The sequence below is a fragment of the Homo sapiens genome, chromosome 2 (assembly GCF_000001405.40).
Source record: "Homo sapiens chromosome 2, GRCh38.p14 Primary Assembly".
Lineage (NCBI taxonomy): Eukaryota > Metazoa > Chordata > Mammalia > Primates > Hominidae > Homo > Homo sapiens.
Genome location: NC_000002.12, coordinates 66,053,554 through 66,078,889, shown reverse-complemented (window position 1 = coordinate 66,078,889; position 25,336 = coordinate 66,053,554). Strand labels below are relative to the sequence as shown.

Genomic DNA, 25,336 nt, shown 5'->3' with positions numbered 1-25,336 from the left:
AAGGAATAAGTCAATAGTTAATATGATCTAAAACTCTCCCAAAGCCTGAAAGACACCTCGCCACCTGTGCTCCAGCTTTGGCACGTGCTTGGCAGCAAATTGCAAGACTGGGAGGTCATAATCAGGAAAACAGAAACACATTACATTTTAATAATCACCTACCTTTTCAATAGCTTTGAGCTTTCACATGTCACCTCCAGTTACAGGGAACTAAAATCAACCTTCAAGCCCTCTCCCGAAAGAACAGCAGACAACTGGTGACAATTGTCGAAAGGAAAGAACCAATAAATATAAGCTGCAAGCTCAAAGCAATTCAGCAAAATCAAGCTCATCAACTTCCCAGCATGGATTTTGTTTTATTCTAAATCAGATACTCATTAATGGGGACCATTCTTTGAATCATCATTTTATTTACACTAGAGAAATGCAAGACATATTGCCTGGCCACAGAATGAAGTGGCTCTCTCGCTGCTCAATTATAGGTATTTCCTTCTGTAGCCTTCTGAATTTTCATGCTAATGGAAAACACCCAGGCCAGATGCTCACTAGTAACAAGTTAAAATGACACTGGAAAGTAAACAATTTTTTTTTTTGAGACGACATCTTGCTCTTTCACCCAGGCTGGAGTACAGTGGCGTGATCTCAGCTCACTGCAACCTCCATCTCCCAGGTTCAAGCAATTCTCCTGCCTCAGCCTCCTGAGTAGCTGGGATTACAGGCACCTGCCACCATGCCCGGCTAATTTTTTCTTTTTGTATTTTTAGTAAAGACAGTGTTTCACCATGTTGGCTAGGCTGGTCTTGAACTCCTGACCTCACGTGGTCCGCCTGCCGTGGTCGGCCTCCCAAAATGCTGGGATTACAGGCGTGAGCCATCATGCCCAGCAACAATTTTTTTATTAAAAAATAATAATAAACACAAAGAACAAGTGGCATGACAGGCAAAAAATGAAAAATCTTACCTGCCTCAGATGTCAGAATCAAACCATACAGATTATGCAAATTAAAAGGAGAACCACTGACCAGCTTCCTTTAGAGTTTGTGGGAGAGTCATGCCCTGGTTTGAGACAATGCCTGCCTTCTTGTCATCCTACTAGGAAATAGGTCCACAGAGATGCTTGCCCTTCTTCACAGCTATGTCTTCCCAGCTCCCATCATAGAGATCAACACATACTAGATGCTCAATAAATGTTGGTGGAGTGAAAAAACATCTGCATTCTGGGAGGTTCCCTTTCTGTTAAAGGTTAAGAATATTTTAATTCACTAATAATTGCCATTATTTTTAGTCTGTAGGCAAAAAATTAACATTCCTCCCCAACACCCCTCTGATCTGATGTGAGAACCATTCAAGGGAAATCTTCACCACCCATTTCCTCCAACACTCAGTGCTTTTCCTCTAGATTTTTTTTAGCTGGACAGAAACCTCAACACTGTAGATACTGGCTGCCTTCCAGTCATTTGCACTTGTGAAGAATCCTTCCCATCTTCAAGGGCCCTAAGGAGATGCTCCTTAGAGGGTGGTGGAAGGTTAGGCACTGTGCAATGGGTGACAGATACATTATTTACATTATTTGCTCTTAGAAAGTTTTGTTTGTTTGGTTGTTTGTTTTTTGAGATGGAGTTTCACTCTTGTTGGCCAGGCTGAAATGCAATGGCCCGATCTCGGCTCACCACAACCTCCGCCTCCCGGGTTCAAGCAGTTCTCCTGCCTCAGCCTGCTGAATAGCTGGGATTACAAACATGGGCCACCACGCCCGGCTAATTTTGTATTTTTAGTAGAGACGGGGCTTCTCCATGTTGGTCAGGCTGGTCTCGAACTCCCAACCTCAGGTGATCTGCCCATCTTGGCCTCCCAAAGTGCTGGGATTACAGGCATGAGCCACCACACCCAGCCAGAAAGGTTTTTGTTTTTGTTTTTGTTTTAAGATAACAGAGCCAGTCAGAACTGATGCCTGCTCTTAGAGGGGGCTGTACTGGTGCTTTGTACCTTCTGTGAAGTTATAAAGAGGAAGGCAGACCAAGAAGCCTCTTGCAAATCAGTTAACAGAATACCCTACAACAGGCCATGCATCTAGTTTCCACTCTTTCAGGAGGCTGTGCAGTTTTCAGGGTTTCGAACAACCTCTCTTAATCCTATGTTGTATTTTCAAAGCGTTTTCCAGTTCATGAGCATTAAACGTAATTATCTCATGTTACCCCGAGATAATACTCTATGAGGTGGATATTATTCTCATCCTTCCAGATGAGGAAGCTTATTTTAAATCATTGCCTTTCTCAATAATAAGTGACTCTCTGTGCACAGCACCATGGTGTTCTCAGAGAGACCTTTGACCTTCTGATTAATTGCTCACTCTTCTCATGACCTCCAGGACCTCCTTCCCTCGTCTCTCCTATCTTTGGCCAAGATGCTTTCTTGATAGGTGGATTCCTTTCAGTGTTTTATTATTTTTTTTTCCTGTGATACTTTGACCTAATCAGGGAAAGCCCTCTGAATCTCTAAAAATAGACAAATGTCTGATTTAAAAAAAAAAAAAACCCAGAAAAGGAAGAGAGATGTTTCAGAACTCAAGGATTTTGGAGAGCAACCCACATACAGATGGTGTGTAATATTCACTAAACACCAAATGCTGGTTTCCATGCCTGGCTCCTTGTTGCTATTTCCTGGTCACTTTGAACTGACTTATCAAATAGAATAGATTCCTTGATACATATGTTGGTATTTGAAGTCCTGGTGGGAATGAGGCCTTCCATTTGTTTCAAGTTTTATTCTTTAAAAATGTTTATAAAGACCCATCTTAGAAAAGGAATCTCAGTCAAAACCCACTATGACTTTGGCGTTCACCCATTTCAAGGAATGATGCCGACCACTAGGATTCTTATTAAGAACAACTCCAACAGGCTCCATTCTCTGCGGGGAAATGGACTAAGATTCCTGGAGATTCCAGCAGGCAGCTGCTGTTAATATAAGTTCCAGAAAGTAGAATGTTGAGACTTGAATATGAGGGCACCCAATAAATAATATTTTTCTTCCTCCCCCAAGTGCTGAATCAAATGAAATAAGAAAAACCAGTTAATATTTGGAGGCTCAACGACCATCCTCATTGATGAAAAGACCCAGGAGAAGGACATACTTTAGGGTGAGAACCGAGCACCTTTGATAACTTCCTCAATGTCCCTTTCTCTCTCCTATTTAGACCCAGGAACAGTTGACTCAAGGAAATTTTAGTCTGCAGAGCAGACACCTTTATCCACAACCCTGTCTTAAACTGGACCGGGTGGAAAGGGCAATAGGAGAGTAGACTAATTAGGCTCCATCCAGCCAAGAAACAAGAACCAATGCCTGCTGCCCACTAGTTCTGAATTCCCTCCTCCTCTGTGTGGGAAAATCACTTGACCTTTGTGGGCCTTGATGTCTTCAGCTTTTTAAAAAAAAGGGAGTTAGGCTGGGAGACAGCTATGACCCAATCTAGGTCTGAAATTCTATGGTTAGCCCCCACAGTGACCCCAATGAGATCCAGGCCACATTGCACTTTCTCCCTTAAGGTGTCAGTTCCCTTTGCTGAGGTTCATGGTCAAATATCACACCCCTGAGACTCACCAATTACCTCCTAAAGGATGGCGATCGTGACGGTGACTCAGTGCCCATCTGTCTCCACCACCAGAAAAATCACTCCAAGTGCACAGGTCAGCAGGAGCATCTCAGACCACAAAGAGCACTTTATCATCAACGCTAGTCCCTGGGAATATATAGGCCTGTCTGTTTCCTAATGATTCCAAGGCAATACTCAAGAACATTATTATGAAGATTATGTTGCAGCTGGTCGGTGAAGAACAATGAAAAACCAAGGTACTGGAGATTGTGGATTCTAAATTTGGCTTGGCACTAGCAAGCCATGTGTCCTTCCTATCTCTGGGCCTCTTTCCTCAGGTACAAGGTGATAGCATTAGTAGTTTTCAAGCTTGTTTTCCCCTTTTAAAAAATATAAAATCTTAGATGGAATCTTAATATATAATATGAGTAAAAATAAAACTGCTCTTCTCCTTGTGGAGGGAGAATCTCCAACCCATGCCACTTTTCTCCCTCCCTCTGGGTATCATCTCCAACCCCAACCATGCTGGACCCTGAGGTCTAATGGATCACTTGCCTGAGAAGAATTTCTCTGTGCCAGGCTAACTTTGGGGGCAACATTGCATTCTGATGTCATATCCATTTGACAGCCCACCCAGTTTTCCTGAAGCTATATACCTGTTAGTTCTGAGAAACTACTAAAGAAAAACTGAATCGTGGGCCGGGCATGGTGGCTCACATCTGTAATCCCAGTACTTTGGGAGGCCAAGGCAGGTGGATCATTCAAGGTCAGGAGTTCAAGACCAGCCTGGCCAACATGGTGAAACCCTGTCGCTACTAAAAATACAAAAATTAGCCAGACGGTAGTGGCACATGCCTGTAATCCCAGCTTCTTGGGAGGTTGAGGCAGGAGAATCGCTTAAGCCTGGGAGGCAGAGGTTGCAGTGAGCCGAGATCGCACCACTGCGCTACAGCCTGGGTGACAGAGTGAGATCCTGTCAGAAAGAAAGAGAAAGAAAGAAAGAAAGAAAGAAAGAAAGAAAGAAAGAAAGAAAGGAAGGAAGGAAGGAAGGAAGGAAGGAAGGAAGGAAGGAAGGAAGGAAGGAAGGAAGGAAGGAAGGAAGGAAGGAAGGAAGAAAGAAAGAAAGAGGGAGGGAAGGAAGGAAAGAAAGAAGGAAAGAAAGAAAGGAAGGAAGGAAGGAAGAAAGACTGAATCGTGTTTACAAGTGATGTGAGCCAATTATTATCAGAGTTAGAAAATAAAGACAGCAAACAAAATATACTTGAGCTCTCAGTGCAAGACTAAAGTTTGTCTCAATAGGGAGACCGAGAGAATAGGGTGGAGCATAAAGGGACAGCACTATTATTCAATAATTTAGCTAAAAAGATATTCTTCTCACTACTCCATGATGCACAGTCCAGACACACAGTGTGAGGCTTTTACCATGAAGAAGTGTGAGGAGGGCGAGGTTCCTCTCCTGAGAGAATGCCTCTCTCTCAACATGAAACACGAAGAGTTTTGGCCTTCAGAAGAGCTGGCCCCATCCTCCGGTCAGCCAGCCCCTCGTATATCTCCTCTGTATGTGTTAATTCTTTTGAAGGTGATGGGGGTTCTTTGCATGGAAGATATATGCAGCTCGATGGCGGCAAGTGAGATCCTAATTATCTGCAGCTGACAACCTTTCAGGGCCCATTATAAAAGAAACGTCTGCACCAGGCCCTCAGAGCCCTATATCCCAGCTCTAGGGAGTTTGAGGGAGCAACAAGGAGTGATTCTGAGAGCCTGATTTATCAGGGAAGATTAGAAGAGTTACATCTATAGTCTGGTGAAACAATGACAGAGGGGGAGCAGGCTAATGGTTGACAAAAGGGCAGAAGAAAGAGAAGAGATTTATGTAGCCTGGTCTGAGGATGAGCAATCAGAGGCATGGAATGAAATGAAGACGGGAAAGAAAGTCCTGAGTAAATATCAGGGAAACTTTCTGCACTGATTTATTAGACAGATGAGCAAATCTTCCAAATGAGGCTTCATCCTCACCCAGAGAAAAAGGCGAGCCTACATAAATGTGTCACGGCTATTCATCTCTGTCACTGTGGGACCAGTCATGATACCTAGCTTGGCTTTCTATCTTTCTCTTGACGAGTGTCCTTAAAAGTCAGAGTCAACCCTTTTCTGAGATCTCTGTGGGGGCTCTGAGAGGCTCTTAAAGGGAGCGTAGCACATGTCTGCAATTCTAGGCTCACCCACTTGCTAAACATCGCCAAAACTTATCATCTACTTTACAGTTTTTAGAGGAGACAATGCACTTGTCCATGGTACCCAGTCCAAAATCTCGCTGGGGATGGAGAGTGGCTTATGCTTCGGAGAAAAGCCAGGATACATCAAGATTCCATTGATGTTCTGTCAGCAGGGGCATATGGAAATGTTCTGGTGAACTATACTACCTACTGAGTGCCTCCATCTGATTCTGACCCGGATAGAGAAGTTCTTAATGTGCTCCTTCAGTTCCTCCCAGACTCTTCTTGTACCAGGCACTCCCATAGCAACCTGTTCTGCCTGGGCTCCACCTAACACTCTGCAGACTCCACCTGACCCACCTGGCCTCCTGTCTCAGGGCTTCCCTGTTGCTACAGAGAAGCAGGATGCCCAAGAGCCCACCAAACACCCACCTTATGCAATCTGAAAGTGATATGGAGTTATGTACAGTGGGGAAGAATTTGGTCCATGAGAGATGGGAGCTGGTAGATAAATTCCTTCCTTCTCCTCCCAGACAGACTGTCTGGCTACACAGTTTGTGTGGCTTCCTTGGGGCACAGTCCTGCAAGAACAAGCAATTAGTCAGACTTCAGTGGCAGCCAGAGGGGTAAGACATCCTAATACTGGCTCTCCTTCCTTCCCTGTCCCCTCACCCCTGCTCCCTGAGACTGTACCTTCTAACAGAATAATAGCACAACAACTTTGACTAAAGTTATGCTTTCTGGGGGATCCCAGGCTAAAATGTGACCAAATGATTGTTGGAGAAGAGTTAGTACACTGTCTGAATAGTGGCATGAATGTCTTTGGTTATTTGGCCTGGGCACCTGATCCAGACATTTCTCCTCGGAATTCCATAGAATTGTCTCCTTCTAACCTCAGCTCCCTAATGGGGACCCCATGACTGACTCCCATTATAGTCCTGACATTGCGAAGTATTTTGGTGTCTCCACTGGCTTACTCTACTGGAGACCGAGCTGGAGGACCAAGCCAGGTTGGTGTTTCCTATGCTGTCCCTGATGGGAACTGAGTTGCAATACACAGGTAAGTCAGGAATCTGGGGTGCTGATGGTCAGCCCCTTGGAGGTCACCCGGGAGGTCACTGACTAGTCTGTGGCCTTTCCATTCAGCTGTGAGGTCCCCCTACCACAACTATCTTTGATTCTATTCTCTGTGTCACAGGCATTACAAGTCTGGTCAAGCACTGGCAAATTCAGAATCTTCAAATGATCTTAATCTCCATATTACCAAAAACCCAGTCTTTGGCCCTCCAAAGAGAGGCTCTGCAACTCTATATTCTCTGTAAATGCTGAGGACTTTTTCCCTTTGTTTTGTTTTTAGTGTGTGTTTTCAGTTCAACTGTTTTTATGTCCCCCACCAAAAGAAAAAAAAATTCCTTCGTAACCCATTATGGGTTAGTGAATTCCCAAACCGTTCAAAAATACTTTAAAGTTCTTTTGGGACATAGCCAGATACTTAATATTGTATTACATTTTATAGTTGTCACTTAATCAAGCTATTTAATATTATAGTACATTTTAAAACTGTCACTTAATCACATTTTCTTGACCCTTTTATGGGAATTAAAGATCACTGTAGATAAAAAATGGCATGCTTTAGTTTAAATAGATTCAGTATGTCCAGTTTGACAGTTACTTCTGAGACATTAAAAGAATTTTCTGTGATTAATGTGACCCACACACGTTAAATGGTGTAATGTTCCATTTCTTCAGCCATTAGCGGAAACAGCATCAGACAGAAGGAGCCAAAATGTAGCCAACTGTATGTAAAGCCGGGTGGTGGCGTGGGGAAGGGGGAGTCTAAAGATAATATAGAGCCAGGCAGCCTGAGATAAGAGGGAGATTTCTACTGATTTAATATTTGCTTTCTCTGGGCATCTCGAGAGTGAAGTCGGAGGAACACAAAGGTCAGACGCTGGTAATGGAGTGGGTGCCGGTCCGGCAACACAGCCCTGGTCGGGGACCGCTCTTCACCAGGGGGCTGCGTCTCAGGCAGGCGAGCGCAGTTCTTCGGTGCTTATTATAAATGATTGATGAACGTTGCTTCTAAATTTAGAAAAGCTCTCTAAATGGACATTTACTCACAAGAAAAAAAAAAAAAAAAACTCTTCCTAAAGGTCTGTCCCTGGAACGGTTTTGTTTATGGCACCGCGATAGTTCTGGGCAATTAATCCAGAATTGCGTCATTGAAAGATTTTATATTCTTAAGTGTTCACTCATGTAGTTAAAGTAAATTATGTCCTTTTTCAAACATGTTTCAAAGAATTGTACTGGGTTTTAAAAATCCTGGTCCCTAAATCCTACTCGTTTGTTTAATTAATCTGAAAATAACTACTCCTGCTTTGTTTCTTAATCACAGATCAGATACACTGTATTTGTTAGCAGCTGAGAATGAAAGCATGTCCCAGTGTGTTTTTCTTGATTGTTTAATAAGAGTTGAATAATACCCTATTTAATCCATCAAGTAGGACATTACAATAACATTGATCTTTTATTTGACAGCAAATTTGTTTGATAACAGAATAGAATAGAATATAACCAAATCAGTGTCAGAAATGCATTTCAGAGGATCCAATTAAAAACACCCATACACATGCCAGATACTGAGCGATAGGGCAAAGAAACCAGACACAGCAAGACACAGAGGGGAGAAGGGTCCAGAGGGAAAATCTAGCTTTGCAAAATGCCCAGACCTTACTCAGATGACACAAGACAAACACTTCACTGCAAGGACTCCACATCCTAGGCCTGTGGCATTTTGGCTGATCAGGGTCAACCTACTCTAAGGCCAGAATGGGCACACCAGACCCTCAGGTAGAGGCCTATTGTGCTCCTCCTTTGTTGGTTCAAATGCTGTAATTCCTGGGGTCAAAGATGGCCAGATCCTGCATCACTTAGCACCCCTCCTTTGCCCTCCAGCTACCACATTGCAAGGGCTCCTTGGGGATGCTATTGTTCACAGCCCAGCATCCTTCCCCTGTCTCCAAACCTGTATGTAAGACATACTTTCTTTTCAGCACCCTTTATCTCCAGGAAGGAACTGGTTCAGAGGATCACGCAAGAGCTCATCTTTGTGGACTTCATTTAGGAGGACAAGTGTCAGCCCTAGTGTTTATTTGCACACATGTTTATTCGATGTTTTACAATTGTACCCTTCCCTTCAGAACCCAGCATGGAGGTGTAACAAAGCCTCTCTAGATGCCAAAAACAGATAATGCTGCAAAGAAGAGAAAAGGAGGTATAGCAACAAACAAATTCTCAAAGCGCTCAGTTTTGAGGGTCATTATCTTGTCCCAAAAGTTTAGTCAGCTGTGTTTCACACAAAGCTGTTCATTACACACACACACACACACACACACACCCCACATACATCTTGGAAAAATAATTGTTGAGATCAACTAGTTGTGTACAAAATACCCAATTGTTTAAGTAAATTAAAACTTTTTTTCTTCAGAATGATTTATGTGCAGACACCAACTGGATTCAATGTGCTGTCCTTCTCCTAGACAAGGTGCTAGTACAGACAGCAGTGGAGGGGATGCAGAGAATTCTCTTTATGTCACGTCGGGGGAAGGACAGTTGTATTTGAATATACTCCTAGAGAAATAAATAGCCATTGGAAACACCTGCACTCTCTTTAGGAGATTTTTATTAATTTTCATAAAAGCATAAACCTCACCTTTTGAAGAAGACAGAACGAAAGATCATAAAAGTAGGGTCTGTCATTTACCGGTGAATATAAGGTGAGAAGGCAAAAAAATACGTATTATCAAATTTCCTAAATCAACCTGAAGCTGTGCTGATGGCTTTCTGCTAACCCAGAGTGCAAGATAAATTACCACATTTTAAAACATTTACACCTCACACCCGAATTTCTCTGTCACTCACACTTCGTCTTCATCTCCTCAAAGGGGAAATATCCAGGATGATCTCGTGGATCTAGAAAGTTGAGGAGTCTTTGTTTTAATTCCTCCTTAGTTTTTCCTCACCAGCCTCCCTTGTCTGACACTATTATAATTCCTTCCCTGCCTTTCCATTCGTTTCCTCCTTCCTTATTCTTTTGTTCTCTGACTATTCTTCCCTTTTGTATTAATGAAGTCCTTTGTAGTTTCTTTTCAAATCTTCAAGTGGATTCCTTTGTGACTTATTTTTTTCTTTTTTTTTTTTTTACCTGATAGGGCCTTTTTAAAAAAACCATGAAAATTATTAATACTTCCATCCTCTTTGGCACTGTACCACAGGCCTTAAAACTTTCTATTACATTTCTGATCTGAAATGGCTTTCTCTTGACCCAGAAGTATTGGCAAATTACAGACCCCAAGACAATCTTTTATGGAGAAGGTCTGAGAGCAAGTGGTAGCCTTTCAAGTACTTATCCATGGAGTCATAATCTCTATGACAAATAGCCTCTTGCTTTGCAGTTAGTTACAGCTAGTTTACTATGCATATGGCTAAGAGAGCACCCCTTAAAGTGGTCAGGGGCTTTTTCCTAAACCCCCCTCCCAGGTGTCACATCACTCCTTTTTACTGTTCTTGTTAGAGGGACAGCATTAGCCCCACAGATCACCAGAGCTTCCTGACCAGCTGCCAGGCTGTAAAGCACGTGGAATTGGGGTGGTCGATCCAAAGACATCAACATGTCACTCTTGATGATCATTCATCTGCAACAGAAATAGCCCATGGTGCCTCAGAAATCGATGTGGAGACCACCACTCTTCAACATTATTGCCACTAATTATTAAGATGAATGCAGTGATTAATGGGAGTGATGCTTTTGCGCTTTATGCAAATGGAGAACTCATGCATATACATGGCGGAGGGGGCTCACCAACCTGGTGCCCAGAACAACGTTGCCGCTCAGCCCCCTTATTCAGCTGTCACTGTGACCCAGGTGCAACAACTTAGAGTGATTTAAAAAGAAACGCTAAAAATGAATTGTTGATCAGCAGCCTCAGGCAGCCTTTTGGAAATTCCCTTCTATGAGGGCCGTGCCTTGATTAGGGAGAGCTCAATCAAGGAAATAACCAGGGTTGTTAAGGATGCTGTTAGCCTATGGTCCTGCATTGGCGATGTCTGGAGGAAAGAATGGGTGAGGAAGGAGAAAGTGCAACTTACGCTGTGATGAGACGGTAAACTGAGGCAAGCCAACCTCTCTGGGTTTTAGTTTTCTCCTTGGTAAAAATGAGAGCATTCAATTAAATACTATAATGCTCCTTCAGGCTGGGAGTGGTGGCTCATGCCTGTAATCCCAGCACTTTGGGAGGCCGAGGCGGGCAGATCACTTGAGGTCAGGAGTTCAAGACCAGTCTGGCCACCATGACAAAACCCCATCTCTACTAAAGATACAAAAATTAGCCCAGCATGGTGGTGCACGCCTGTAGTCCCAGCTATTTAAGGGGCTGAGGCAGGAGAATCACTTGAAGCCAGGAGGCGAAAGTTGCAGTGAGGTGAGATCACACCACTTCACTCCATCCTGGGTGACAGAGGGAGACCCTGTCTCAAAAAAAAAAAAAAAAAAAAAAAAGCTCCTTCAAATCTTAGAATTATAGAATCCTACAAGACACAGGATAAGTGGGATACACGCATGCAGGCTTTTGTCTTCTACTAATATGAACACTTTCTGACACAATAACCTCTAATATAACAGATCTTTCATTGCTTGTTATATTCTACAAGCATATACTTCAGTAATTCAGCCAACGTCCTCTCATCCACCATCTTTTAACTCTGAAGGATTTCCAGGATTCAAGATTGGGGTAATAGTATACAAAGGATGGAGCAAGAGTTCTGTAGTCAGGCCTGAATATGAGTCCTGCATCTTCCCCTACCAGCTAAGTGACAAACCTTCAGTACTGTCACTTGCCAGATGGAGAGAATAACTGCATATGCCTGATAGAGTTATATTAAGGAATGAAGGGGATAAAGTGGGTGAAGTGCCTGGTACATAGAAAGCCCTAGATAAGTGAAACAGAAATACAATTTTTCCTCTGTCTACACTGGCTGGCCTAAGGAGTAGAGGTCAAGGCTTAAATCGTCATTCTTAAAGGACTATACATATCTTCAGGTTCAGCTCTTGCTTTCCAAACAAGCAGGGTATCATCCTTATTGTGATTATAATGACACAATGATGACAACAGTCATTCATGCTCAGGTGCTAATTTTTTTTTTTTATTTTATCAACATTTTGTTCTGAATTTCAGATTTCTGGATGGACTAAATTGCTCAACTTAATTTAGTAAAATATCAGTATAAATGCTACTAGAGTATGCTGCACAAGGGTTTGCATTTCAGATGATACCACCCCATCTACTGCTATATCCCTTCGCTGAAACCTGTTTGCCTCCCACAGCCTGGATCCCAGGGCATGCTGGTTGACTCACATGGAGCACTTATTAGAATGCTGAAACCCACTACTGGTTGAAAGTATAAAGAGTGTAGAATTGGCAAGCTCTGAAAGGGGAAAGGGAAATTATTTACTATCAGAGTTGCTGTGATGGACAAAGTGAGAAGCAGGCCCGGATTTCACAGTCAGCTTCAGCCTGTGAAGACATCTGGCCTCTCAACAGACACTGAGGCTCACTCACTACTCTACATACGCTAGGCCTATCCCGGGCTCCCACTGTCTCCATACATTGAAATGCATTTTCCATTATTTAAAGGTAGCTTTTAAGGAAGTATTTGTGGGTATGATGGATGCATCCCCAAGGACCTGCTTCTGTATTCTTCCTGTAGGCACAACCCCTTGCTGGTCACATCTACATTTGTCATGAGAAATCCTGCTTTCACCAGCCTCTTCAGCTAATTTCCATTCCTGATACAGTCACTGCTTCTCTAAAGACTGAGTCTCCCAGGCCTCTGCTGGAGAATTTAGTTAAGTCCTCAATCCCTTGCTTGGCTTCACTCCTGGTAGCCTGACTTAGCTATATTGCTAAACCTGGCTGCTCTAAGTGATGTTTGACAAGTGCTTTCTCTCTAAGGGTCTCCAGGGCAAGTCAGGGAAAAGTAATCAGGTTCAGGTTCTTTTTTTACCCCTTCTTCATAAAAAATCTAGAGTGTAAAGCCCTAACTTTAAACATGTTGCATATTTAAAGGGTCCATCAGAATTGTGGAAAATTGCTGCCTCTGGAGAAGACCATGAAGACCTCCAGTCTGTCACTTCAGACAGAACTGAGCACGGCAACGCTCACAGGGTAGTATCTACACGGTCCCAGGCTGGTCAGTGGTGGAGCCAGGAGGACCATGAGTCAGCCAACCCTTTCCTCTTTCTTTTGTTCCATAGCTAGAGCCTCTCAGAATGAGAGAGAGCCAGTCTATGGCTACTTCTTCCCTTCTCTCTTTATTTCTTTTATTCTTTCCTTCTTTTCTTCCTTCCTTCTCCATTTCTTTCTTCCTTTATTTTCTTCTTTTTTTGGTGGCAGGGTTGTAGGGAGCTTGGAATATATTATATAAAGGAAGAAATGCTGAAATAAGTTTAAATAAAATTTTATATATTTTATACATTTGTATTTAAATTGTGCTTTTTATAAGATACGTAGAAATTTTTTTAAAAATAAGGCATAGTGCACTCTGAACAGGACCATATGTAGTCACGCCTTCTGCTATAGTTTGAACATTTACCGTCTCCAAAACTCATGTTGAAATTTAACCCCCCATGTGGCAGTATTGAGAGATGGGACCTTTAAGAGGTGATTGGGTCAGTTGCAAGGGCTCTACCATCATGAGTGAATTCATCCATTCATGGATTAATGGGTTATCATGGAGTGGGACTGGTAGCTTTATAAGAAATGGGAGTGAGACCTGAGCTAGCATGCTCAACCCTCTTGCTCTGTGATACCATGTGCCACCTGGGACCCTGCAGAGAGTCCCCACCAGCATGAAGGCCTTCATCAGATGTGACCCCTTGACCTTAGATTTCTCAACCTCCATGACTGTAAGAAATAAGTTCTTTTTATTTATAAATTACCCAGTTTCAGGGATTCCCTTATAAGCAACTAAGACACCTTCTTTCAGTCCTTCGGTGTAGCTCTGTGACATGTATATGACCTCATCTGGGGATAATCTCTGAACTTGAGCCCTATGGGGATGCAAGGCCAGTGACATGACCCTCTCAACTCAGCTTGTTGCTTCCCTCCCAGACCTCCTGGAATGGGCTTTATCTACACCACAGCATTTTCCATTCTGAACAGAGGAAGAATTAAGATGTCAGAGAAGGTGATCACAAAGGGAGTGGAAAACAAGATAAGAGAATGAAGAGGAGGAAAGAAAAGGAAAAAGATAGCCAGGCGTGGTGGTGGGCACCTGTAATCCCAGCTACTAGGGAGGGTGAGGCAGGAGAATTGCTTGAATCTGGGAGGCGGAGGTTGCACTGAGTCAAGATCACACCACTGCACTCCAGCCTGGGCCGAGACTCTGTCTCAAAAAAAAAAAAAAAAAAAAGAAAAGAAAAAAGAAAAAGAAACACCTGCTTGCCTTGCTTCTATTCTTATTCATTTAAAAAATTATTCACAGATAAAGCACCAACAGGGGATTACAGGGAAAAGGGAATCTGGATTGAAGAGGAGCTCTGTGGAAATGTGCAACCTTCAAAAATGTGTGAAATAGAATTCAAGCCATGCAGATGAGGCAGAGTGTGTTTCCGGCCCCACATGGTCCCCCAGCCTCAAATGCAGCCTGGAGCAGATGAGTGCTGCTCAGATCCTCAGCTCTTTCCACCCAGAGACAACGTTTCACTGTACACACACACATCTTTATAAATAGATAATATGGGCTTGTTATATTATTGCAGATAATTGTTGAATCAAAATTAAAATGAACTGATAAATGCATTAAGCAGTTCAGCATATTTTCCTTTTTAACAAAAGTTAATTTTAAATGAAGTGGAAGCTCTAGCTACACCATAAGAAATCACAGGAAAACACAAAAAGGGAGTAAAGTCGTCATTTTGAATAGAGTGGCTGCATTGCCCATGCAGCATTCCATATTTAGAGAGGTGTACAGTTGGTTGGATGGTAGAATGGTCAAGGAGATAGGGAGACAGGAGGGACCACGGAAGGGTCTTCATTCCCAAGGAGGGTCCTGGATGCACAGGAGCAGTGGACAAGTGATCCAGCTTTGCTGTCACAGAAACTCCAGGTCAAGAGAAAGGATTTTTTATGATCAGCAAGAAAGATGTGTAACAATGAACCCTCCAATGAGCAGAAGGTAATAACAGATGAATGTGTACAAGTAATTGAACATGACTCTCCAGTCAAGACATCCAGAAGGGAGGGGAGAAACACAATAAGAATTTGAAAAGTCTGCAATATTTGGAAACTTTGAAAAGGCCAACAATAGCAAAAACAAGTTGGGAAAAATCTAAGAGGTACATTCCATCTGGGAGGAGATATTTTCTCACATGGAACATACTTACAATAACCTGGCAATATATTTCAATCTGAATATCTAAGCCCAGAGTTCAACACAGAATTTTGTAGTTTCAAATAGAGAATTTCCCTTCAATATGGCTTGTGACCCTATTCCTGACTGACATCTCTTAGAAAATAAGAAACATTTTACACTGCAGTTAGAAAAAAAAATACATACATTTTTTAGCCCAAAGAATAGGAGTTGATATTTAATGTCCCTTCTGACTCTAAACTCAACATCTTTGAAATTCTAGTGCTTGTCTCCATCCACCATCATAAGCAAAGGCTGAGACTGGAGGAATTTGTTAACAGCATACATATTAAAACAGCATTGGTCTTCTGCATACCAACAGCATAAACAATATAACCTAAGAATTAAGCAAAGCACATCTTGCAAGTCTATACAAATGTGCAGGAGTATATAAACTACTTTCTCTATTTCTGGAAGCTAAGAAATCTCACTTGTAAAACAGTTTTTCTTTCCTGCCCTTTTGTTGGTACACCCCCTCCCAATAATTCCCAAACTTCAACTGTTGTTCCTCTTACTGCAAATGCAGTATTTTTGTTCATTGTTTTTTTTTTCCCTATTGCAAAATGCCAAATCTATCTCCATCTCTTTTTCTCATTACAGTTTGCACTTGATGAAGTGAAAAGGTTATTTTTTAAAAAACTGAATGTCTAGTTGAATTATTAAAAAGATATTTATATTTCCCCTTGATGTGGTTGCTAAACAATTCCCATGTTGGCCAAAATTTTGGAAAAGCTGTAATTGAAATGTTAAAAATATTTTGGAGAAGATCTCCAGAAGGTCCCTAAGAAGGGTGTCTTAATTTTATATTCAGATAAGGTATGATAAGGTATGATAGTAAGCCTACTATGTGCCTGCATTCCATGGAAAGACTGAATGAATTTGTGGACGTTAAGTATTGTGTCTGATTATCCAGATTGTGAATTAGCAGGCTCTCCTGCCTTCTTTAATTTCCTCTTGGCTGACCATTCCCTGCCCACTAAAAACCTCAGGTTCAGTAGACATTTTTGAGCAGCTACTGTATATTGTAGGTACTTGCTAGGAATTGCCTAATTTGTCTTCTCCAAAAGTCTCCAGATTCTAAAAGTCAGCCTTTTCCCATTATATCACAGCAACCCCTGTCCCAGGTGGTCAAGAGGAAGGAAGAAAGAAGGTGACCCTCACATGAATTTATGTGCAGTTCTGGTAAAAGACTTGAAGAAGCCTAGGGCCAAACAGAAACTTATGGCCAAAATGAGGCTTCTGAATTAACTGTGCATCCACAAGGACCTGCTTCTGTATTCTTCTTCTGTATTCTGTGTTCTTCTTCTTTCCTTCTTTTCTTCCTTCCTTCTCCCTTTCTTTCTTCCTTTATTTTATGTATTTTTTTTTTTTTTTTTGGTGGCAGGTGTGTAGGGAGCTTGGAATATATTACATAAAGGAAGAAATGCTGAAATAAGTTTAAAGAAAATTTTATATATTTTATACATTTGTGTTTAAATTGTGCTTTTTATAAGATACGTAGAAATTTTTTAAAAAATAAGGCATAGCGCACTCTGAACAGGACCATGTATAGTCATGCCTTCTGCTATAGTTTGAACATTTATCCTCTCCAAAACGCATTTTTTAACCCCCCCATAGGCCGGGCGCAGTGGCTCACGCCTGTAATCCCAGCACTTTGGGAGGCCGAGGCAGGCAGATCACGAGGTCAGGAGATCAAGACCATCCTGGCTAACACGGTGAAAGCCCATCTCTACTAAAAATACAAAAAATTAGCTGGGCGTGGTGGCGGGCGCCTGTAGTCCCAGCTACTCGGGAGGCTGAGGCAGGAGAATGGCGTGAACCTGGGAGGCGGAGCTTGCAGTGAGCCGAGATCGTGCTTCTGCACTCCAGCCTGGGCAACAGAGTGAGACTCTGTCTCAAAAAAAAAAAAAAAAAAGAAAAGAAAAAAAAGAAAGAAATTTAACCCCCCATGTGGCAGTATTGAGAGATGGAACCTTAAGAGGTGTTCCCCGATAATGGGGAAAGAGAAAGGTTGTATTTCTTCACTTGATAGATGAGACATTCTCTGCAGAGATAGTTCTCCATGAGAAGTCATTTTTCAAAGATTTCTGAAAGCAAACAGGCTTCTAAGAAAGCTGTTTATAACAGCTACACTTGCTGAAATTCATGATTACATATGGATGAAATCAATCCTAATATACGGGAAAGGGACCAAGAGGCATTGTTCAAAAAGTTTAAGACTAGTTTACAAACAAGCTATAGCTTATTAGATTCTGTAGGTTAAGAATAAACATGGAAACTTCAGGACTAGATGCTTTCTAAGGTCTCTGGAAGCTCAGACCAGCCACAGTCCCATAAGATCAAGGCTGATACATAGCCAATACATATTGGTTGTTAAAATATTGAAGTCCTCCCATATCAGTTTTGAACAGCTGCTGCTTTGAGTCCACTGATGCCACCCCACCAACCTGACCTGGCACGACAGGAGGCTCCGTGTCCTGTGCTGTGGCTGGCATCTATGCCATGATGGTTGTTTAATATTTTTAATATCGCCCCTGTTTAAGACATGAATCACACATCTATCCTGACTCGAAAGTCTTGGATGCTTAAATGGCCTTTGATCATCAACATCATTGCTGTCATATTACAAACCTGCAAAAATATTTAGCACTTTCAGTAAAAGGGTAATCATTTTTTCATTCATAGTAAAAAACCAAACATGTAAGTTTCAAAGACACTTCCATCAGTGAATTAATTGCTTCCCTGCAGCCAGAAAGACCCTTGTGAGCATTGAGAGGGAAACAGTTGGTTTCCCCTTCTTTTTTAAATATGTCCAGTTCTTACCCAGTTAACATGAAGAAACCACTGTCTCTAGAAGAAAGCTTTTTTTTGCGGTATTAGTGAATCACTGAATAGCTTAAGTATGACTATCTAAGTTATAAGTTAGTCTTTAGTGGGTTTTAAAGTTTTTCTGACCCCTTTGAAAAATAACTACATAAGTACTTCTTGTTGCTGGGTGAGAAATACTACTTTATAGACAGTTTTGGTTTTCTATTTGCAGATACGATTGATGTATTACACCAAAATAAAGTATTTTTATGTTTATAAAGTATATTTAGGTTCACTTAGAATATATTTATTTAATAAGTTAAAATTCTTTTGGCACATTGTTAAATGCAAAAACTCCTTTCAAAACAAAAAAAGAACTACCTTATATTCAACATTTAATGTTCTTGGTCTCTGCTTTTATGTCTATACAATATACTGAGTTCAGTATGGTCTCCAAGAGTGCCCTGTATGGATAGATATGTGCACTCCTTCCAGGAGTGGGTACTGATTCCAGACTACAGATGCCTATTATTAGTTAGGCTTCTGAGCTTGCAATCATACTGAATGTATGAAGAGCAAAATAAAACCAAATCCTTATTTTTTTACAGTTTTGAAGTTTATACTTAGAATTGACCAACTCCCCAGCCACCTGGAGAGCTGTACAGTGTGTAAATCTGCCTTTACCTTGGATTGATTGGTACAGTATTTTTGCATCTGTGGGACCTACCTTTTCATTCAGTAGTTTGAACTGTATCTAAACCGTACAATCTGGGAAGTTTTTATAGAATAAATATTCAGCTGTGAAAACTGGTTAAATAAAACTAATATTTCTTAACATACACATACACACAAAAAAGAAATTTGGAGATTCCCTTGTAGCCATGCTGATAGAATGCTTTAAAAACTATCTAATGGCATTGAACTATACACTTAAAAAGAGATCATTCCACTGTATCCCTTCCCTAAGGTTTCCCTGGGGTGCTAAGGGAGGGATTAAATCATGGCTTTTGTTTGTTAAATAATTCAGGGGGTCTGGGTGTGGCTTGTACAACTAGATATATTTTCTAAACTTACATCACAGTTGTGTGCATGCATGTAAATGGACACACACACACACACACATATTTGCACATACACACAGGTTGAGTATTTGCTTGTTAGAACACACAGGATGGCATTTTAGTGGTGACCTTGCTGTAGTAAGCTAACTATTGGGACTATGAACATGGCCCTGGTTTCCAGCCTGCAAGAGAGAATAGGAAGGTATTTCAGCAGGAGATAAAGAACAGAGATATTACCCAACCAATCAACAAATATTTACTTTTAGAGTGTCTATGTGTGCCAAGCACTTTTCTAGAACAGGGTCCCTGCCCTTAAACAGTTACATTCTAGAGAACAAAACATAAACAAATCAATAAACAAAATAACCTTAGGTTCTGGGAAGTACTACACAGAAATATTTAGCTGAGATAAGAGAACGTATTAATAACTGAGAGTGACCAGGGGAGAATCTGGAGGTGGAACATTTGAGCTAAGACCTGAATGGTGATAAAGCGTGACCACGTGAAGAATTGAAGAAAAGAGTCTTTTCAAGAAAACAAATAACAGGTGAAAAGGCTCTGAGACAGCTGTGAGCTTTTACATGTTTGAGCTATAGTCCAGTGTGGCTGGCATGAAGTGAAGAAGGTGAGGGTCCAGGGAGATGAGGTCATAAAGTTAGGTAGAGGATTTTGCTTCCAGTAATGTGGCAGATCAGTTACTCTGAAAATCCTCCTGCTGCAGAACCCCTGGTGCAGAATCAATTGCTACCTATTTTTTAATGCATAGCTGAAGTTGCCTAAAAATAGGGGAGATCCACATGAGTCAAGAGCCGCCTGGTGAACTGATGCATTCGCCTGGTAAGCTAATGGTGAAGCTGGGTCTGCCCTGAGGCAAACACTGTTAGAAGTCTAGCGCTTCGGGGGGTTAGTGGTCACAGGGGGCACAGGAGAGACTACACTGAGAGCACACAAGATTGGGGGAAGACACACAAGATGAGGCCCCCACATTCAGTGAAACAACAGGCTAGAAAAGGTAGCCACAATGAAAACTTGTATTCTGCAATTCCAATTCCAGCTGGAGAAAATACTAGTCTGGGGTTCAAAGTTATTCTATCCCGGAGAGTAAGGAAACTTCAAACTGAGAAATGAAACTAAAATGGCCCTCTATTGCGTACTCGGATCCCCATAAAAGGAAACACAAATTTTCCTAGAGGGATGTACCTTCTATGCAGGTCTATCTGGATCTTACTTCACTGAAATAGGAGATCCCGATTAAAAATTACTGAGTTTGTAAGAAAGTAAGTTACTGAAAGAGCCATCAGAAACAACAGACGTTTAGACTTCCATGAACTTCAGATGATGGAATTCTTAGAAATAGAATATGCACTAACTGTGTGTAAAATATTTAAACAAGGAAAAATAGAATAGAAAAACATAAGCAAAGAACAAGCATTTCAAATGATCAATTTGAAAAAAAAACAGTTTCTGGAAATGAAAAATAGTTAATAGTTAATATTAAAAACTCAGTGGATGATTTTCCATGAAAAAGTCACCTGGATAATTAAAAAATAAAGGCCAGTATCTCTCTCTCTCTCTCACACACACACACACACACACAAACAAACAATAAAAGGAGAGAGGAATGTTTTAGATTAAAAGAGTCTAAAAAGGGATGATAACCAAATGCAATTTGAGAACCTTGATTAGATTCTGGCTTTTAAAAAGCACTATAAAAACATGTTACTGACAATCGATGAAATAAGAATGACTACAAATTAAAGCATTAAGTTATTCTTAGTGTTCTTATTGGATGATGTAACCAGTAAGATGTTGTAACCAATTTTTTATATATCAATTTGTAGTCCCAGAAGAAGAGACTAAAGAGAAAAGGGGAGAATAATTTTCTGCAATAGCTTTATAGAGATATAACTTGCAGACTATAAAATTCACTCATTTAAAGTATGCAATCAACTGTTTTTAGTATATTCACAGATATATGCAACCATCATCACAGTCAATTTTAAAACACTTTCATCACCTCAAAAAGAAACTTCATATTCTTTAGCTATCATCTCCCTATCCCTCTAATACCTCCCCACCAACCCTAAGCAATTATTAATCTACTTTCCGTCTTTATAGATTAGTATATTTTCAAAATTCTTTCACATTGTATCATGTATTGGTATTCACTCCTTTTTACGGCCAAATAATATCTTATGCTTTGGATATACTAGATGTCATTTATCTATTCATCAGTTGATGGACATTTCAGTTATTTTCATTTTTTAGCTATTATGAATAGTGCTCCAACAAACATTCACACATAAGTTTTTGTGTAGATGTATGATTATATTTCTCTTGGCAATATACTTAGGAGTGGTTAACTATGTTTCATTTGAGGAACTGCCCAGCTGTTTTCCAAAGTGGCTGCACCATTTACATTCCCACCAGTAGTGTGCAGGATTCCAATTTTTCCAAATCCTTGCCAATACTTATTATTACCAGACTTTTTGATTATAGCCATCATAGTGGATGTGAGAGAATAAATTTTTGAAGAGAAAATTTTCTAAGATTAATGGCAGAAATGAATCTCCAAATATAAGAAGAATAAACATGCTCTTCAAAGAAATATGAAACATTTGTCATTATAAGCCATTTTCTGGGCAATAAAACAAACTTGAATAAACTTAATTGTTCAATTGAAATTGTATAATGTATATTCTCTGACCACAGTTAAATTAAACTAGAGGCCAACAGAAGAAAGATATTTGTAAAACTCCTAGTGTTTGAGCATTAAACAATACACTTCTAAATAACTCATGCTGGCCGGGCATGGTGGCTCGTGCCTGCAATCCCAGCACTTTGGGAGGCTAAGGCAGGCAGATCACCTGAGGTCAGGAGCTCGAGACCAGCCTGACTAACATGGTGAAACCCTGTCTCTACTAAAATTACAAAAATTAGCCAGGTGTAGTGGCAGGCACCTGGAATCCCAGCTACTCGGGAGGCTGAGGCAGGAGAATCGCCTGAACCCAGGAGGCGGAGGTTGCGGTGAGCTGAGATCAAGCCATTGCACTCCAGCCTAGGTGACAGAGTGAGACCCCATCTCAAAAATAAATAAATAAATAAATAAATAAATAAATAAATAAATACTCATGCTTCAAAATGGAAGTCACAAGGGAAAGTAGAAAATATTCAGAATTAAATTAAATGAAAACATAATATACAAAAATTTCTGAGATGTGCTTTACCAGAAAAGATATAGGATGGCAGTGAAGCACATGAAAAGATGCTCAATATCATTAACCATCAGGGATTTGCAAGTTAAAACTATAATGAGACATCCCTAGTCACCTATTGGAATGGCTAAAAAAATAAAGTCCTGAAAATACTAAGTGTTGTCAAGTATGCTGAGCATTGGAATCTCTCAGTCTTTGGGGGTGGGAATGCAAATATTACAGCCACTTTGGAAAACAATTGGAGAGTTTCTTATAACCTTAAACATGCACTTACTATACAATCCAGCAATCTTACTCCTAAGTATTTACTTACCCAGGATAAATAAAATGTATGTACACATATAAATTTGTATGAAAATGTTTTTTATCAGCTTTATTCATAATCACTAAAAATCAGAAACAACCTAAGTGTCCATTAGCTGGTAAGCGAATAAACAAACTGTGATTGTCTTAGTCTGTTCAGATTGCTATAACAAAATACCATAAACTACGTAGCTTATAAACAACAAAAATTTATTTGACAGTCCTGAAGGCTGGGAAGTCCTAGAAAGGGACAGATTCAGTGTCTAGGGAAAGCCCACTTTTCACTGTGTTCTCACATGGAAGAAGGGATAATGGGTCTCCCTCAGACCTCTTTTATAAGAGCATTAATGCCATTCATGAGGGCTCCACCCTCAAACCTCCACCTAATAATCTTCCAAAGGCCCCACCTCTTAATATCATGAGCTTGGCATTTAGGATGTGAACATATGAATTTGGGGAGGGATCACAAAGATTCAAGACATAGCAGTAGCACATCTATACAATGGAATACTTACATGCAAAAGCATGAATTAATAAATCTCGAATGTATTATGCTAAGTGAAAGAATCTGAACTGAAAAGGTAACATTCTCTCTGATTCCATTTAAGTCATATTTTGGAATAGGCAAAATTATAGGTACAGGAAACTGATTAGTTGTAGCTCGTTGTAGTTTACATCATTATTGTGGTAGAGCTTACATGACTTTATATGACAATTCATAGAATTGTATACTTAAAAACAGTGAATTGTACCTTAATAAAACTTACTTTCAGAACCTGTTAAGGTGACCAGACATAGAGTAGACAGCTTCCAAACAAGAAAAATGGGGGAAATCCAACAAACAAACAAGCAAAAACAACTCAATCTAAGAAAAAATATGCATAGAAAAATTTGGACATATAAAAAGCAAAACATATGATGGTAGAAATTAATCCACATACATTTATAATGATAAGAAGTAGAATAAATGAATCAATTTTTAATAGATTTGGTCAGATTGACTTTTTTTAAAAAAGAACAAAATCCAGTTATATGCTATTTCCAAGAGACTCACTTAAAATACAATGGCGCAAAAATTTTACAAGTAGAACAGGAGAAGGTTTTCTTAAAAAACAGTCTCCAAATACAGAGGAAAAAGAACAAAAACTAAGAGGTACAAACCAGATTAGGCCGGGCACAGTGGCTCACACCTATAATCCCAACACTTTGGGAGGCCGAGGCGGATGGATCACCTGAGGTCAGGAGTTCGAGACCAGCCTTGCCAACATGGGGAAACCCTGTCTCTACTAAAAATACAAAAATTAGCGAGGCATGATGCTAGGCACCTGTAATCCCAGTGAGAGGCTGAGGCAAGAGAATCGCTTGAACCCAGAAGTTGGAGGTTGCAGTGAGCCGAGATCATGACATTGCACTCCAGCCTGGGCAACAAGAGTGAAACTCTGTCTCAAAAAACAAAACAAAACAAAAAAAAACAGATTATGTAAAGTCTTAAAAGTTATGAGAAGAAACTTGGATTTAAGGCCATGGGAAGGCATTGAAGGATTTAAAGGAAAGGAGTAATGTGGGTCTGATTTACGTTTTAGAGAGATCCCTCTGGCTGCAAAAGGAGAAAAGGGAAGCAGGGTCAAAGGAAGAGGCAGGGAGAGCAATTAGGAAGCTATTGCAATGATTTAGGAAGAAGATGATGATGCCTTGAGCTAGATTTGTAACAGTAGGGATGATGATTTGGGAGATGTATTGAGGTGAAGCTGATGAGATGTACTTATGGGAGGTGTGAGAGAATAATGGAATTAACCTAGATTTTAGGTCTGAGATTTTAGAGAGTGTGGTGGTTCTATTTAGCAAGATGGAAAAGGCATGAGTGGGAGTGTGATGAGGTGGAGTACTTTTAGAATTTAGAGAGGTCACAAAAGATTTGGGCCATATTAATTCTGAGATGCCCAGTAGGTATCTAAGTGGAGATGCTGAATAGGCCACTAGATATAGGAGTTTGAAGCTCAGGGATTTACATTTGAAAGTCATTTACATACAGCTGGGATTTGGACTTGAGGGAATTGAAGATTTCCAAGGAGACAGTGAAGAGAAAAGAACTAAGGACAAAGCTATCCAGCACTTTAATAGTAAGAGGTTTGGAATTTGGGAGGAATGAAAAGAGTAGGAAATCAATGAGGCAGAAGGAAAACCAGGTGAATGTGGAATATAGATAATCTAGAGAAGAGAAGCTTTCAAGGGAGACAGTGTGGCTTACTGTGTCAAAAAGTATTAAAAGTAGACTAAAATAAGAACAGGTACTGATTATTAGTTTTTTAAAAAGTAAGTTATTGGTGAACCTAATGTGAAAAGGAGTGTTCTTTTTAAAAAAAATATTAATCCTGTGAAGGCTTTTATATGCTAATGGGTATAATCCAATACATAGAGAGAAATTGATGACTGAAGGTGAATCATAGTACAGTCAACCCTTGAACAACACGGGTTTGAACTGCGTGGGTCCACTTATACATGAATTTTCTTCTGCCTCTGCCACCCCAGAGACAGCAAGACCAACCCCTTCTCTTCTTCCTCCTCCTCAGTCTACTCAGCATGAACACCATGAGGGTGAAAACCTTTACAATGAGCCACTTCCACTTAATGAATAGTAAATATATTTTCTCTTCTTTATGATTTTCTTAATGA

The 25,336-nt window shown here is 40.5% G+C and overlaps 1 long non-coding RNA gene across 2 annotated transcripts in view, besides 1 other annotated feature; it reads right to left on the bottom strand.

The window, feature by feature from the left end:
• LINC02934 (long intergenic non-protein coding RNA 2934) overlaps positions 1-25,336 on the bottom strand; it is a 298,411-nt gene that overhangs the window by 9,596 nt on the left and 263,479 nt on the right. For both annotated transcript variants that reach the window (NR_187140.1, NR_187141.1), the window contains exon 4: positions 6,238-6,386. This is a non-coding gene — a long non-coding RNA (long intergenic non-protein coding RNA 2934). The remainder of the gene's footprint in view (positions 1-6,237; positions 6,387-25,336) is intronic.
• Positions 6,810-8,497: an enhancer, noted in NCBI's record as "VISTA enhancer hs205". NCBI's record gives its function as "enhancer in: genital tubercle[8/9]" and the evidence as "EXISTENCE:transgenic organism evidence [ECO:0001131][PMID:17130149]".